Source organism: Homo sapiens, chromosome 12, assembly GCF_000001405.40.
Source record: "Homo sapiens chromosome 12, GRCh38.p14 Primary Assembly".
In the NCBI taxonomy this organism is placed as follows: domain Eukaryota; kingdom Metazoa; phylum Chordata; class Mammalia; order Primates; family Hominidae; genus Homo; species Homo sapiens.
This window is the reverse complement of record NC_000012.12, coordinates 44,018,450-44,036,871: the sequence shown is the minus strand read 5'-3', so window position 1 is coordinate 44,036,871 and position 18,422 is coordinate 44,018,450. Positions and strand designations below refer to the sequence as shown.

Sequence of the window (18,422 nt, the reverse complement as noted above, 5' to 3'; positions counted from 1 at the left end):
TTATAGTCTGTTACATAATAAGAACAGACCTGCAGCTGATAAGAGTATAAATTGGTACAACCAACCTGGATAATCATTTGGCATTATGTAACAAAGTTGAAGATACACATAACATATAACCTTAGAATTTGACTCCTAGGTATATTTGTTATCTGTAAATTTGGACATGTTACAAGAATGTTCTTAGCAACAATATTTGAAATGGCAAGAAAACTACAAACAACAAGACTTTCCACTAAGAACAAAAAAAGATTTTTTATGTTATTTTCCTTCAACAGAATACGGTAATAAAAGCAAATACCTTAGTGATAAACAGCAACATTGCTATATCTCAGAAAAATAAAGTTGAGTGAAAAAAGCAAGTCTTGGCAGTGTATGAGTATGATATCAAGTTCCACAAATGAAAAATAACATATTAATTGAATGCATTTATACCTGATAAAAAAGGCAAATAATTACAAACACATAATTAATTATACAAGTTTCCACTGGAAGGAGGCAGTAGGGGAGTGGGAGAAGATCAGAGAGATGTCCATAGAAGGCTTCAGGACATTAGTTGCTTAAGCTGAGTGGTAGGTAGAAAACTGTTCCTTTCACTATTATTCTTTAAACTTACAAATATTTTATATACTTCTTTCTATATTTACTTTACATATTTCAAAATGCATATATCATTGTTAAAAAGGATAATGTATATAGCAACTTCAGTGGAAGAGATTTATTTTTAATGCAATGTGAGATGACAACCACTGAGATCTGTAATGATCTCTGTGATCTAGAAACTTTCTACTTTTCTACTTTATATTATTAGTGCCCCAAAACTGTGTAGAAAAGCACAGAGCTAAATATCAGAGAACAAAGAGCTAGAAAACACTTAGTGGGAAAGAATGAGATATGTCCTTCTATCATGTCATAAAACACCTGCCATATCTTTCATTTGATAAAAGATACTAAGAAAACTCAGGGGCCCTCAGCAGTCCTGCAGTTGCCTTCCTTTCTCTTCAGGTGTGATTCCCATCATTTTCATCTTGAATCAAATGACAGAAAATTCATGGTCCCATTCTCTCCCTGGTGTAACCTCACATCAATTTGTTATCAAGCATAACCTATTTAGCTAATTGCAAGACCTCAACACTTCAGCACTGTCAGCAGGTAAAAGTCATCTAAAATCCAAGCCAGATTCAATACATTAATAAAGATTATAGACTTTAAGAAAAGAGTACACTCAAGTTAACAACCTAGATTAAGGTAAACAGCAATGAATAGAAAGATTCAACGTTCAGTGTTACCCTAGGCTAATGTAGTCATCTCCTGGCTGGTCTCCTGCTTCAAGTTTATTCAGTCAGTCAATTCTACATATACATCCAGTTAAATAACGTATTGGGTTAATTACTTGCTTACTATTGTTTCTCTCACTAGAACATACGTTTTTTGAGCAAAGGAAATGTATTTTATTCATCTTCAAATGTCCAGCATTGCGCATACAGTAACACTCAATAAATATTAAATAAATGAATGAATAAAGATATAATCACAGAATACATAAGCAGTCATCTACTCAATTCCTTTGTTTCACAGGTGAGAAAAACGAGACCATCCAGATTTCTCAAAATGTCTACAAGGTTGTTTCATTTGCATCCTTACTGTACTAATCAGAGAACTCAATAGAAACAGAGCCAGTAGAAGATACACACACGGAGATTTATTATAGTGGAATTGGCTCACACAATTATGAAGCCTGAGAAGTCCCACAATCTGCCATCTGCAAGCGCGAGACTCAGAAAGCCAGCACTGTAATTCAGTCCAGGTCTGAAAGCCTGACAACCATGGGAGCTGATAGTGGAAATTCCAGTTTGAGGACCAGAGAAGATGAGATGAGATGAGATGTTCCAGCTTAAGGCGAGAAGCAACAGGGGCAAATTCCTCCTTTCTCTCCATTTTGTTCTATTCAGGACCTCAAAAGATTGACTGGTGCCTGCTCACACTGGAGAGGGCAATCTACTTTACTGAGTCCACTGATTCAAGTGCTAATCTCATCTAAAAACATCCTTACAGACACACCCAGAACTGATAATTAATCTGGGCATCCTATGGCCATTCAAGCTGACTCATAAAACTGTCACAATGTTAAAAGGTACTTCATAATAGCATTACCTTCCTACAGAATACAGGGTTTTCAAAATGTAAAAGAATCATTCATTTTGAATTTTCATTTTCTCAAATTTTAATTTCATTTGAGTTTGATTTATTGAGTGGACAGCTTGTGAGCCCACTCTGAATTCAAGACTGCAATCTAAAAATAGCTACCAAAAATTGTAAATTCTGCATTTGCAGAATTCTAACATGACTTTAGGAGTAATCACCACGGACTTAATTGCATTAAACATCACACATATATTTTAATCTATTTGGACTAATTTAACAACTATTATTTATACTGTTAATATCAATTATTTATATCTAATACCAATGCTATACCACGCAAAGATAAATGTTACTGATTTCCCTACGAGGCCATAAGAACCCGAGGATAGAGCCCCTCACTGCCCTGTTTACATCTCTCTTTTTTCATAGTTTAGCCTCTGTGAATTTCCTTTACTTTCTTGGCTACTAATATAAAAGGATGTTTGTTGTAGCTAACCTAGCATTTCTCTATGTATGTAGCAGGAGGGTTTTTTCAGATGTAAAATCTATCACAGTGTAATTAAAGGAATTTTAACCTGTTGCCTAAGAAAGAAATTGTTTTCCATCTCCATGTTTTTCTCATCCTGCTTTTGTTGAGGGACTTAGAAATGTATAAAATGCTCTACAAAATTAACAGTATCAAGAGTAAATGGATACCACAAGAATGATATACATGATCTTTGCCATTGACTAGGTAGACAACAATCACAAGAAACAGTCACTACAACTCCACCTCCACTGAACTGAAGAAAACATCAAACTTCATTAATGGTCTTTGATTCTGCTCTGAAAAGATCACCAGCACCTTTAAGCTGAAGGCAGGATGAGTAACGTCCAGTGGCAGAATACTGTCTAGTCCACTATCCATCTCCAATCAAGGCACATTATATTAAAAGCATTTTTATTAGATTCTACTCAGTCCTCCTTGAAGAGAAAAAACTTTGAAGATGATGTCAAAATGTGCTTCTACACTTAGAAGATTTTTTCTACTGAAGGGATTAAGATGATTATCCAAAAGCCTGATGACCATCATTGAGGAAATGTTTAGATCCAAATCACATCATGTGTGTGACCTTTGGCAAATCACTCCATAATCCTGGACCTCTTATTTCATCTGTTAGCTGAGCTTGTTGGCTTTCCAGCTAGGACATATTATGACTCTATCAAGGACATATTATGGAAATAAAGGATCGGTTTTCAAAACTGGCACATTATTATAAAATCGTTATAGGAAAGGGGTCCCACCTGATCCAGGCTCCCACAGAGGGTTCTTGGATCTCATGCAAGAAAGAATTCAGAGTGAGTCCATAAAGTGAAAGAAAGTTTATTAAGAGAGTAAAGGAATAAAAGAATGGCTACTCGATAGACAGAGCAGCCCAGAGGGCTGCTAGTTGCTCATTTTTATGGTTATTTCTTGATGATATTCTAATCAAGGGGTGGATTATTCATGTTTCCCCTTTTCAGACCATACAGGGTAATTTCCTGATGTTGCCAAGGCATCTGTAAACTGTCTTGGCACTGGTAAGTGTGTAGCAGTGAGGACAACCAGAGGGTCACTCTCGTCACCATCTTGGTTTTGGTGGGTTTTGGCTGGTTTCTTTACTGCAACTCATTTTATCAGCAAGGTCTTTATGGCCTGTATTTTGTGCCAACCTTCTATCTCATCCTGTGACTTAGAATGCCATAACCATTTGAGAATGCAGCCCGGTAGGTCCCAGCCTCATTTTAACCTGCCCTTATTCAAGATGGAGTTGTTCCAGTTCACACACCTCTGACATTCCTCCCCACCCTTTTATAAGAGAACCCTTAATCCTACGGGTTGCAGAGGGATGAAGATCCATCTTCTGTAACTTCTTCAGGCTGAATAGGGGCAATGATATTCCTACCTCACTATTAGGGTCTCTTGTATTCAAGGTAGAGAGGAGCTCAGTCAGAAAGCATCAGTATGGTGAGGGTCATTCATAACTCTGAGTTTTGACAAAAGGTGCTGTATGAAAGATTAGTAAGTGTTTACAAAAACATTTAATAAGCTTGTCCTTCATTCCTACACCAAGAATACAACAGCAAAATATTCCACAACAGTAAAGTGAAATAAGTAAAATTATCTCAAATAAACTAAATTAGAAGGCTTTCCATGAATTGGACAACTGTTGGAACCAAGCTGATATGGGGTTGCTACATGATTCCAATATGTGGCCACGATTAGAATACTGATCCAGATTTTTACATTACCCATCTCTCTTGTTTCTTTTGAGCTGCTGTCAGAGATTACTGGATGGTTCACAGGAATAAGTAACATTAGCCTAAATTGAAGAAACAAACTTAAAATCAACTGATGAGACTAGAATTTAATAATGTGTACCACAGTTCTTAAAACATAATATTTCTATCTCCAATTTTCCATCTTTACTAAAGACAAATCACGGTAAGATTGATTTGCTTTATTACACTTGGCCATTTTATTTGTATGAAGTGTAGCAAGAATAATTATTTTTCACATAAGCTCTTTTTAAATTGGCTTTGATGGAACTCTGTTCCATAGAAGCAATCTCAATTAAGACTTTTTTAAAGCTGAGCACAGCCATGGGTTTGTACCATCAAATACCTATGAGTTGAGTAAATTCCTCTCCTTATGAGGTCCCAGGATAACTTTGGGCTCCTGGACTTGTTAGAAAGTGGCATTCTTTACTTACCACAAGTCAGAAACCCTGTACAGGAACTGTGGAGACAAGGTATGAGACATTTCCCCAAAGGGCTTTTATTGGCTCTACAAGTCAAATTTGATTCCTTAAAGGAAAGCATGCCATTCCAGCCAAAGCCTTGGTAAAATAACCAGTTTTTCCTATTGTGTCCTGTTATAAAAGGAATCAGATTCTTATTGCACTTACGCAAATAACTACATTGCCATAAATTAAGGATACTCACAAATAGTTTCTAAATTATGGACAAATCAGGTAGAGAGAAACAAATATGCTCCAAATTTTGTTCTTGAGTATACTTTACTCAATTGCTACAAGCTGTAAATAGCTCAAAAGAAAAGTTTTCTCAACTCTGAAAAACAGAACAAAGTATCAGCAGCATTTTAAGCAAAAAGGTAAAAAGATTACTTCAGATTTCTTTAGTTTAGTTTATGTATTTAACTCCTGTTTGATATTCATGAACATTTCAGCTATCAATGAGAGTCCTGAAAGTTGTTTCCTTTATTCTAATGTCACAATTTCCAAAGTTATCAGAAACCTGCATTTAAATGCACCTGTCGAAGTCCTATACCTGACTATAAACCATCTTGTAAAGAGGACCAAAACAAGACAACACAGTTGTCTGTGGATGGCAAAACATTCTAGGACAGCCCCAGTCAAAAACACAATTGACAAATTTTGGTTACCTCTGTGGCACACAATGATTTTATGTAACAATTATTATTATTAATATACACTAAGTTATATCAGAATTATAGGAGTTTCCTATAATTTTCAACACATATCAATAGTACATTTATACAAATACAGCCCAAAGAAAGCAAACACTATTTTACATTTGACAATGCTACCTGCATGATTTTTATACCAAATAAGCCAAATGTCACTGTTGCATTAGTGCATTATTGATGTCAAACCCAATTCTTAATAAAACCTTATAGACAAATTTAATCTTAATTCGTTTGACCCTAAGGTAAGATTCTCATAAACCTTTTATAACCCTTTATAAGTTTTGTTAAAGAGCAGATTATAAGCAGGTTTTTGCTTTAAGAAAAACCTGTTGTGCTTTTATTGCAAAATTCAATAACAGAAAAACTGAATAATGGCACTTTAACTTTAGCCAATATATTCACACACAGAATTTCTTTTATAATTAACTTCTCACAAACCTTCTATAACTTGCTTAAACCTTCAGCTTTATCCTATTTAACTTAACTCATTTATGCTGAAGGTTACAAATTTTGGGGGGAAAATCAGACCTTGGTGTTGACCTTGAGCAGTAGGATATAAATAACTGCCACAAGCTCAGCGTTCCAATAATGGAACACTAGGCATATATAGGTTAAAACAATCCTTTAACCCTTTAATTTAGGCAAGAAAAATCCACATTCCCATGCCTTTCCATAGTCATTTCCAAAAACACATTTCACTTTTCTTACACACTTTGCATGTAAAACTGTTTCTTTAGGAGTCTCAAATACACATTACACTGTTAACTCTTAGTGACTTTTACTTTTGGTGAAAATCCTGGTTAGTAAGCGATTTTAATTATGTACTAGGTGTGGAGCCTATCCTAGGACACACCAGGCAGAAGTGCAGATAAGGGCTGAATCCAGCATAGCTAGACAGCGTGGCTAACTCCACATGTCCCCAGGCTTTATCTAGAATTTAATGCTCCAAGGTAGGTAAATTGAACAATTTTCAAAAGTCAAAGAAGCAGTTTATGACCTTAAAGCATTTAGCAAACCTAATATCGAAACTGCATAACTTAGACCAAATGTTTACATTTTTGAAGATATTTTTATTTTACCAATAATCTTTAAAACTGTCTTTATTTCCTAAAGATTACTTAAGTCACATGAACTAAAAAGCATTACTCTTTTTACTTTTCTAACAAAATATTTGATTTAAGCTCTTATTTTTAAGCCAATTAATCAAAGCTCTTTTATATCACACACACAACATATATACATATACATACTGACAGAAGATAAAGGACTCATCTCTAAACCAGGAATTGAACCCTAAATGCAGGCCGCCATTGTGAAAAGAGAAAGCATGGCCACATGGTTACAAGGTCAAGCTCCCAAGGACATACAAGACAAGAAGGAAACCTCATCCAGTTTTTTCAGGGAACTGCAGCAAAGTTTTTAACTGACCAGTTTGCTGGGCTATCTTGAAAAGTGGGCTTACAGGTGTCCTAAGCCTGTGTTCTATCCTAAGGTACCCCTCTCCACTATAGAACACAGAAAGACACACACACCAAATTCACAATAGCTTAAGATTAGCCTCACAAATCCTTTTTCCCATTAATCAAAACTTTAATAAACAATGATTTTTACCATTCTTTCAACCAGTTTGCAGAAAGAGAGAGAGAGAGGAGCATTGCCTGTGGCAGAGTGGGGAAAGCGAGGCACTCAGGGAGGCCAAAGAAAGACCCCCCATTGCAGCCAACACTGAAAAGTTCGGGCAGCCACTTGTCAGTAGTGAAGGACTCTTTTCCAGCAGTCCTAATAGCTCTCAAGTTTCCCCATTTAGGGAGGAAAAAGTTCCCCATGTCCCATGATCCTGAACATGCCTAATCCTGTACATGCCTGTACATGCCTAAGGATTAGGCTTACCATAGTCATAAGCAAAGAGTGCTAAGCAGATTATTCCAAAGAGAATAGCAGTTAACATCCCATAGTGCCAAACCTATTCTTAGCCGAGAAGGACTTAAACGAGAAGGACTCTACCAAGAGGGACTTTACTAAGAGGGGTCTCTAACCCCCTAAATCTTAGAAGGAACTCCAACCCTCCTAAATCAGGCCTCTAACACAAGGTCAGTCAAGCATCCTTGCCTTTTATTGAGAGAAGCCTTTAACCCTCTCTTAGGAGACACTCTAACTCCCCTGAGTTAAGCCTCTAACCTAATTCCATTCTTTTCCTGGGTATGCATATACCCAAAGTCATCCAATCAGTGCTGTCTATTTCCTTTGGGTGAGAGGTCTCTCAGTATCATCCCTTCAGGGTTCTCCAGAAAGAAGTTACTGGACCCCACCACTTACCCAAAGTTAGCATTTGGGTCAGGGGTTTCCGCATTATAGTACCTTCCATGGTCACCAGAAAGATGTTACAAGAAAGGAGTTCCAATCCAGACTCCATTCTTGGATCCTGTGCAAGAAAGAATTCAGGGTGAGTCCACAGTGCGAAGTGAAGGCAAGTTTATGAAGAAGGCAGAGGAATAAAAGAATGACTACTCCGTAGGCAAAGCAGTCCCAAGGGCTGCTGGTTGCCCATTTTTATGGTTATTTCTTGATGATATGCTAATCAAGGTGCGGATCATTCATGCTTCCTCTTTTTAGACCATATAGGGTAACTTCCTGACGCTGCCATGGCATTTGTAAACTGTCATGGCACTGGTGAGAGTGTAGCAGTGAGGACGACCGAGGCCACTCTAGTGGCCATCTTGGTTTTGGTGGGTTTTGGCCAGCTTCTTTACTGCAAACTGTTTTATTAGCAAAGTCTTTATGACCTGTATTTTGTGCTGACCTTTGATCTCATCGTGTGACTTAGAATGCCTTAACCATCTGGGAATGCAGCCCAGTAGGTGTCAGCCTTATTTTACCCAGCTCCTATTCAAGATGGAATTGCTCTGGTTCACATGCCTCTGACAAAATAACGTTAAGCTTAAACACTGATTTGCTCATTCATTCATTCATTCACCCCATGCCTTTGTTCCAGATACTGGAATGATGGAAGGGTTTTAATGCCTTTAAAAAAAAATCTACACTCAGTCAAACAGCTTTTTGTTTTTGAGACGGAGTCTCGCTCTGTCACCCAGGCTGGAGTGCAGTGGTGCGATCTCGGCTCACTGCACACTCCACCTCCCAGATTCACACCATTCTTCTGCCTCAGCCTCCCGAGTAGCTGGGACTACAGGTGCCCATCACCATGCCCAGCTAATTTTTTGTATTTTTAGTAGAGACGGGGTTTCACCATGGTCTCTATCTCCTGACCTCGTGATCCGCTCACCTCGGCCTCCCTAAGTGCTGGGATTACAGGCGTGAGCCACCGCACCCGGCCTCAAACAGCTTTTTGACAGTAAATAATAAGCATATGTTTCAAATACAGAAAACTTAAGAGTGTGTAACAGCTAACTCTAGACTAACACGAGGGGTCCAAAGGCCTGAACTCACACTCATGTCTCCTCTCTATAGTTAAACAATTTATTTAATACTACTTGTAAGGTATCCTAACAATCAAACGATAGTTCTAAAGTCCTAGAATATAAACCTCTACCATCCATTTAGTCACTGTTAAGAAATATGATTTAAACGTGACCATCTGACATCATGTGCCTCTTCATGTAATGCAGTAAGAAGGAAACACCTCTCATGTAGTATTCCTCATAAAAATGCAGCATGGAATCCAATCATGTAGCAACATCAGATAACTGCAAATGGAGGAACATTCTACTATATTACTGACCTATTCTATCCTCTTTTAAAATGTCTAGGTTATAAAGGCTAAGAAGGCCAGATGCGATGGCTCATGCCTGTAATCCCAGCATTTTGGGAGGCCAACACGGGCAGATAACTTGAGGTCAGGAGTTCAAGACCAGCCTGGCCAACATGGTGAAACCCCATCTCTACTAAAAATACAAACATTAGCTGGGTATGGTGGTGAATGCTTGTAATCCCAGCTACTTGGGAGGTATCACTTGAGCCCAGGAGGTGGAGGTTGCAATGAGCCAAGATTGTGCCACTGCACTCCAGCCTGGGCAGCGGAGAGAGACTCCATCTCTAATTAAAATAAAATAAAATAAAATAAAATAAAATAAAATAAAATAAAATAAAATAAAATAAAATAAAATATAAAATAAAATAATAAGATAAAATAAAATAAAATAAAATAAAATAAAATAGGCTAAGAAATGGTTTGAGGTTTAAAGAGACCAAAGAAATGAGCTAACTACTAAATGCAACTCATATTGCATCTTGGGCTGGTAAAACAGTTGATAGAACAATCATTAATGAAAGAGTTATCGAAATGTCTATCAAAATCTACATAATAATATAGATTATTAATACCACATCCATGTTAAATGTCTTGATAATTGTCTTGTGTTTACAAACAAGAATGTTCTTGTTCTTAGAAAACACAACTATTTAAGGATATATACAAACAGAAAATAATAGTGCAAATATGATTTTAAAACATGGTGATAATTGCTAAATATGAATATTTGAAAGTTTTTGTACTATCATTTACAACTTTTCTGTAAGTTCTAAATGAGTTCAAATTAAAGATTAACAAAATGATTAAACACATACTTGCCAATTAAGAGATCTGGGAAAATAAAAGTGTTCCAGTCCTACTCTCATAAGTATAACAGAAAGATAAAGAAACAAGTAAATATGTAATAAATAATTATAAATCATAATAAATGCTACAAAAAAACCTACAGTGTTTAATTAAGAAATAATGGGACTGGGAAGGTTTTAATGGGAACCACTGATGAGAAGGTCAGGGACTGTCTCAGTGAGAAGGTGACATGTGAAAACCCGTCTCTTTGGAGGCACGTGGAAACCCAGGGAAAAGCAACAGAGGCATCTGGGCCAGCATGTGCAAAGGTCTTGAAGTGGGTCCCCAGGTTTTTAATCACAGTCTAAATTTACAAGGAAAGACAGAAAAAAATGTGGCAGCAGGGTACCAGAGCAGCAGGAGTATAAAATCAGAACAGCCTATGGAATTATTTTGGACATATGAACATGGTTCCAACAAGATAATACCACTGCAGATGGTTAAAAAACAACCACAGCAAGGAGCAAGCCAAGTCTTTGAAATGAAATTTCTCATTTGAGTGAAAGAATGAGAATAATCACAAGACCAAGATGTGATAATTCATATAACAGGGTCACCTGCTATAGCCACAAACCAGTCAGTATGGTTTCCAGTGCAGAGGGTAGAAAAGATTATTGGTCCACAGCACAAAGATTATTTGTGCTGACAACTACAGTCATCTTTGAATGAGAAGAACGGTGACCTGGCCCACCTAAAATTTCCTCCAAAAGGATATACACATACCTCTATGGGTGGGGGGGGCGGATAGGTAATTCTTTGATTATACCAGAAATTCATAAATTCTTCGTCAAGAATTGTAGCTGTGTAATGAATCTAAATTTGGAGTTCTATCACATATGTAATTGACAGAAGACTTGAAATACCATCTGTTATCATATTTAAACTTCAGAAATTTTCTCTAGAAATGTTCCTTTTCTTAAGGAAAGAAGACTCTTTAATACTCATTTAGTAGAATAAAAAATGAGATGTTCCAACAGGCTGCCAGCAACATTTTTTTTCGAAAATACAACAGCTGAATTCACAAATTGTCCCAGCATTTCATTACTACATGTTCCTAAACTTATAAAAAGTCCTTTCAACACCAATCAATACAATCGTGAAAAAAGAGGAATAGATCTCTACATTCTTGTTTTTCTATCTTTAAATAGGGTTAATTTAACACTTACCTATTCCTCCATATCTTTCATTAACCTATAGAGTTTATTTTCCTAAAATTCCACAGAAGTTTAAACTCTATTTCCACATTAGCAGAAGGAGAAGCCTATTATGAATAATTATTAATTTAAGCAAATCTGGAGTTTATCTAATTCCTTCTTAAATAAAAGTCAGGATGAATCCAATCAGCTGCACACCCGCTGCGTATGGTGATTAGGTGCCCCTGAACCGTATCTGTTCAACTTGACATCTGTTTCATTGTGTTACAATTATTATTATTATACAAGATGGAGTCTTTAATTCACATCAACATTTTACAGGCATTGCTTCATTGACTCCTCAAAACAACCATTTGAGCATTATAATCTGCATTCTATACAGGAGCAGACTAAAGCCTAGCAAAGTCAAGTTACTTGCCTAAGGTCAATCACTCAGTTACTATACAGTGAGTCCTATTATGTATGTGGTGGAGCAACTTAGTCACCTTTTGGTTGTAACATGAAATCTAGTTCCTGATTCAAGCACTCCAACCTTCCTACACTTAGGAATAGATGAAGGCGCTCTCTCTCTCTCTGTATGTATATGTACTTATATGTATGTACATATATGTGTGTGCACACACATATATACAAACACAAATATATATGTAGATATACATATATACACATATATGTGTGTATATATACATTCAAAGGCATAATATTTTTATACCTACACTGACTAATCGTTAAAATAATTTTTCCTTATGTTAAGAAAATCTAATATGAAACGTTTGGGTAAATTTGACTTTCAATCACCACAATCCTTCCACTTTGTTTCCATTTGCTGTTTTCCTACTCTCTCTCCCTCCCTCCCTCCCTTCCTGCCTTCTCTCTTCCTCCCACCCCACCTTCCTTGCTACTTTCCTTTCTCCCTTCCTGCCTTCCTTCCATTCTTCCTTTCTTTTCTTTCATTTAGTTATATACCCTGCTTTCTTCCCCAAAAGTTTATGAGATACTAAATAATCCCCCTGCTCTTGTTTCTTAACTTGTTCTCATCAGTACATGCACTCAATCCATGCTCTCTGTACCACTCATCACAGAAATAAGTACTGTAACGGTGAGGACTGCTCCCTTTCATATCTGCCCATACAGCACTCATATTTTTATCCTACACATTGTTGAGGTCACCTTACTTTTATGACTTCATTATCCATCAAAGGCATTTCTGCTGCTCAGCATATAATCTAAGTAGATATATCAACTGACTTGTCTTCATTTTAGCTACATTTTCTTTGCCGTCACACCCTAATGCAGTGCACAAGACAAACTATACACATCTCCTTAGTGCTGCACTTAGCAATATTACGCTTAGGCTCACAAGGAGCAAATGTCTACAGTTCATTGTCTTTTCTGATCTCACGTTACCATGTTAGTCTTCTGAAAAGGGCTTCCTGTCTTCATGTGGAACGAGCAGATGTCAGTTAATCAGTGACATGGAAAATAATAATAGTTAAATCCATGGGTTTTCCTACTGGATTTTTTTTTTATACTTTAAGTTTTAGGGAACATGTGCACAATGTGCAGATTTGTTACATATGTATACATGTGCCATGTTGGTGTGCTGTACCCATTAACTCGTCATTTAGCATTAGGTATATCTCCTAATGCTATCCCTCCCCCCTCCCCCCACCCCACAACAGTCCCCGGAGTGTGATGTTCCCCTTCCTGTGTCCATGTGTTCTCATTGTAAAATTTTTGCAACCTACTCATCTGACAAAGGGCTAATATCCAGAATCTACAATGAACTCAAACAAATTTACAAGAAAAAAACAAACAACCCCATCAAAAAGTGGGCAAAGGATATGAACAGACACTTCTCAAAAGAAGACATTTATGCAGCCAACAGACACATGAAAAAATGCTCATCATCACTGGCCATCAGAGAAATGCGAATCAAAACCACAATGAGATACCATCTCACACCAGTTAGAATGGTGATCATTAAAAAGTCAGGAAACAACAGGTGCTGGAGAGGATGTGGAGAAATAGGAACACTTTTACACTGTTGGTGGGACTGTAAACTAGTTCAACCATTGTGGAAGTCAGTGTGGGGATTCCTCAGGGATCTAGAACTAGAAATACCATTTGACCCAGCCATCCCATTACTGGGTATATACCCAGAGGATTATAAATCACGCTGCAATAAAGACAAATGCACACGTATGTTTATTGCGGCACTATTCACAATAGCAAAGACTTGGAACCAACCCAAATGTCCAACAACGATAGACTGGATTAAGAAAATGTGGCACATATACACCATGGAATACTATGCAGCCATAAAAAATGAAGAGTTCATGTCTTCTGTAGGGACATGGATGAAACTGGAAATCATCATTCCCACTGGATTTTAGGGAACTAAGTCACCTTGTTTTCATGCAAGGGCAGTCTTTGCTTTTTTCTGTTAAGAGGGCTGGGTTCATCTGTGTAACATGAATAAAAGCACTCGGCATCATGTTGAAGCCACTGAACTGGAGTCTGATAATTGATCTGCTTCCTTTATTTGCAGTTTTTGATTAGACGCCAGACCTCATTGATGTAATCCACTGTCTGGAAATTAAATTAAAATGAAACCTCCTTGTTTTCCTTTTAAATTCATCTCTGTACTTGGGTAGTATTTTTTTGGTTTAAGTATAATATGTGTGAAGTCTATATCTATGTGAATCATGAGAAAGGAACATACAACAATTATTTTGATGATTTGGGGAAACTTTTATTGCTGAGTGTTATCCCTTCCTAATATTTCACACTTTTCACATCAATACAAAATTACTGCCTAAAGACTTGATGGCTTTTTTAAAACTGAATATCACCCCCTCCTCAACATCATCCTTCTTTATTATGCTCACATTCCTCATGACACCTGTAAATGCTTTAGATGACACTTGTACTTCATTTTACTATTGAAGCACACACATAATATGCATGTCTATGCATTAGAAACATTTAAAGGAGACATCTTTTCATTCTTAGAGTAACCACATGAATGAGGTAGTATTGTTATCCTCATTTGACGGTTAAAACAACAAGTTCAAAAAGGTTCCCCTTTGGACGCCCAAGTCATGAGGCCAGAATTTCAAAGGAGAGTTCACTCTCTTAATTACACTGTTTTAATTACATTGTTTTACAGCCTTTCTGTCACCTTTGTATTGTAGTTTGGTCAATAAAAATAATTATAGGTAGTATCATCATTATTTTACAGCTCAGAGAGGCTAAATGGCTTGTCTAAGTTCACACAGCTAATGAGTAATCAAGGCTCAAACTCAAGGCTTCTGACTTTAAGTCCTTTAGTGTTTCACTAAATAATGTTGTCTTTAATGTTCACATAAAAACAGGAACCAAATTACAATTTCATACTATGAAGGAACAATTTTTAATGCATCCTTCATGTAGATTTATTTTCTTCATGCCAAGGCAGAAACAAACCTACCTGGCTTATTATTTTTAAATAACATACTCATAGATATATATTACACATATGTGGTAAGTTCAAGGATTTGGGGGTTGACCACAGAAAAGGCAAGACCCCAAGAGGCACTACCACAGAGCATGCTTTATTGCAACTTATGGTTGCATGAGAGAGGAAGTTCCTCCCAGCAAGAGTACTTCCAGAGACAGTGGCAGGTGGTCACTACTCAGAAGGAGAATAGGGCAAGGGATCTCCAGGGGAGGAGAACTTGGAGAGGTGGCTTACATGCCTATGTTAGGGCATTCAGCAGCAAACTATTTGGGTTAGAGGGATCAAAGGGCAGCAGGGTTTCATGTCTTTATTGCTGGAGTTTGTCTTATCTGTGGTTAGCAGATGCTGGGTGCAGATTCACAAGCTATGTAAAACAGGCAAGCTCTAAGTGTCTAAAAATATGCTTATTTGGGCTATATTTAAAGCAACTGGATGTGTAAGAATTTGAGTTTGGTTCTAGCTAACCACCCTAGCCTGCTATGAAGAAGTAAACAACGCAGAGGCCAAATCAAGCTAATACACCAGGGCCTTCTTTAGCCCGTTCTATAACACTATACACAGGAACATGGATGAGGCTGGAGGCTATTATCCTTAGAAAACTAATGCAGAAACAGAAAGCCAGATCGCACGTTCTCACTTACAAGTGGGAACTAAATAATAAGAACTTATGAACAGAAAGAAGGAAACAGCAGACACTAACTAGGTTCTATTTGAGGGTGGAGGATGGGAGGAGAAAGAGGAGCAGAAAAGATAACTATTTGGTACTGGGCTTAATACCTGGGTGATGAAATAATCTGTACAACAAACCCCCGTGACATGAGTTTACCTATGTAACAACCCATCACATGTACCCCCGATCCTAAAATAAGTTTATTTACGTATATACACACACAAATCTCTCAACTACTGACTGAATTTCAGGTAATCTGTGAGACAGTGAAAAACAATAGTTAAATCCATGAGTTTTCCTCCTCTTTATATTTTTAACAAACTACTTCATTACCCTGATTTCACACTACAAGCAGAAAGAAATAAATGCCTGGGTTTTGCAAGCCCTATAGTTATTATCATCAAACTCAGCTAGCACCACAAATCATGGTATATGTTATTTGCTTAACCAACTGATGTATAAACTGGATCTTGGATTTTGCCATTTCTATGTATTGTAGCCTCTATTCTGTCTTTAGCATGTTCTCCAAATGACGTGTAGATTGTGGGCTGAGTTCTGGCTGCTAGCTATTTCTGGCAAACTGTTGACTCCTTAAAATATGTATAAAATACCCTATCAAGAACTACAGAATGTTTATGGAATCATTGAAATTTACATAAAAAATCCCTAGCCCTAGGTTTAAATCAGCATTCATAGCCTTAGTGCATGCCCAAAGTTTTCAACATATTTGCTTAAATACTCACATAAAACTTTAGGGTTAAAAGGCACAAATGATAATGTTAGGGAAGTCCTTTAAATTCGTAGATCAGAATAAATGATGTCCCAGGGACACAAAAGTAGATGACAGTAACAATACACGAGAAGTCAGGAATCTTGGCTCAAACTGAGTTCTTGAACTATGCCATGCTACCACTTTATAAATCCTTCACAGTTGGTCTTTGACCAAGAGAATACATCGAAGGTGGATAGTAAGAGGCATAACCACTGCCCCATGTAGTACTTTTAGAATGCTGACCCTTGTCAGATAGGGCTCCATATAGTAAAAAAGACATAAAATAACTGTGAGGGAATAATGATCCACTGACAACAATATCTGGATACTGCTAACACAGACCATATTATTTTCATTGAAAGAGTTATTTCTTTTATTAAAGATATCATAGACCTGATCATTGAATTTGACCAAAAAACCTGGGATTTTTTAATCCTGGTTTGTTCTGAATTTAAAATTTATTTTTAATATGCACAATTATTAGAAATTTCTAAGAAAACACCATTACTGACTAAACCATTCCCTATGCTACACAGAGGTAGTAGGAGGAAGAATGTCTATTTGCTGAGTGTTTTTAACAACCAGATTCTATTACAAAATATGAACAAACAGACCTTTCATTCTGTTTAAAAGAGCTTTTTTCTCAAATTGGGGATTGTCATATGTGGAATGAGGAAAAATCAAAGAAGTTTGGGGGGATTCATTACTCACGTTCATAGAGCCTTTATTAGAATGCTTCCAAAACTTTCTAGAGACAGAATTCCATCTTTTGATAATTAAGAATAAAAGGAAGGACTTCCACATATCTATGTAATATTAAAGGCACCAACTGCATAGTTTATAATCTACACATATTTACACTGATTAATGAACCTGCCAACTAGAATAAATGAAAATTAATCAGAAATTACATTTATGAAATAACATTACATAAAACTTGAAATAATGAGCACATTAAACTTATTTGCCTAAATGTCTTTATCCAGAAGAAGAAGAAAGAGGAAGATGAGGAGGAAGAGGAGAGAAATGTATAGAGAAGAGAGCCCCAGATCAGGAAGCTAAAGATCTGAAACCTGGTCCTACTTCCAGTGCTTATTAATGGTGCAGATTTGAATGAGCCAGTACCCTCCTGAAGCCTCTGTTTCTCCCTCTGCCACTCTGTCAGGGCTGCTGTAAGTGAGCGTTTCTGTGAAACTACAATGGGTCTCCTGGGGAGTGAGAATTGACTGTGACTAGTCTTTTCAGGGAAGTGCGCAACCTGCTCTACAGGACTTGCCTGAGATGGTCTTTGTCTCAGGATTTTGTGTGCATCATATCCTGGGAAAATGATGGTCTGGTCACACTAGATGGCTGCCATTCATCATAAAGCCCCACCCCAGACAACATTCTTTCATACAAAAACACAACTAAACAAGCAAAAAACTCTATAGGCAATTTGAATACATAAATCTCCTCCTTCCCTGGCCTCTGCCCAGAGCTGAGAACCACTGACTTAGGTGAAGTCCACTTAGGGTTGAGTGCAGCTACAAGAGTAGAGTTAATCGGCTGGGCACAGTGGCTCATGCCTGTAATCCCAACACTTTGAGAGGCTGAGGCAGGCGGATCAAGACCATCCTGGCCAACACGGTGAAACCCCATCTCTACTAAAAATACAAACATTAGCTAGGTGTGGTGGTGTGTGCCTGTAATTCCAGCTACTCGGGAGGCTGAGGCAGGAGAATTGCTTTAACCTGGGAAGCGGAGGTTGCAGTGAGCCAAGATTGCGCCACTGCACTCCAGACTGGCGACAGAGCAAGACTTCTTCTAAAAAAAAAAAAAAGAAAGAAAAAGAAAAAAAGAAAAATAAAAACAGTAGAGTTAATTATCAAGAGTACTTTCTGGATAAAATATTGATAAGGTCCTAGGAGTTGCTTAAGACATACTATGTGGTTTAAGGAATTCATAATAGCAGAAGTCTCCATTTATGTAACAACCAATGGAATAAACAGTGCAAAAAGTTAGTTTCATAATCTAAGAAATGTACCATTTTTATTAAAACAATTGTCTCTAAATTACTTTGGCCATTTCTAATTAAAATTACTTCAAATGTGTTTCA

At 37.1% G+C, this 18,422-nt stretch overlaps 1 protein-coding gene across 10 annotated transcripts in view, besides 1 other annotated feature; it reads right to left on the bottom strand.

Moving 5' to 3' along the window:
- The window catches only part of TMEM117 (transmembrane protein 117), a 603,307-nt gene that overhangs the window by 362,237 nt on the left and 222,648 nt on the right, over positions 1–18,422 (bottom strand). The window contains exon 2 of one of the 10 annotated variants that reach the window (XM_047429664.1): positions 7,931–8,036. The exons of the other annotated variants lie outside the window; for them this stretch is intronic. The gene's annotated coding sequence lies outside the window, so the exon portion shown is untranslated. The remainder of the gene's footprint in view (positions 1–7,930; positions 8,037–18,422) is intronic. 10 annotated transcript variants of the gene reach the window in all.
- Positions 6,686–7,885: an enhancer, noted in NCBI's record as "MED14-independent group 3 enhancer chr12:44422790-44423989 (GRCh37/hg19 assembly coordinates)". NCBI's record gives its function as "activates an origin of replication core promoter dependent on BRD2, BRD4, P300/CBP and CDK7 cofactors, and independent of MED14, by STARR-seq in HCT116 cells {active_cell/tissue: HCT116}" and the evidence as "EXISTENCE:reporter gene assay evidence [ECO:0000049][PMID:35650434]".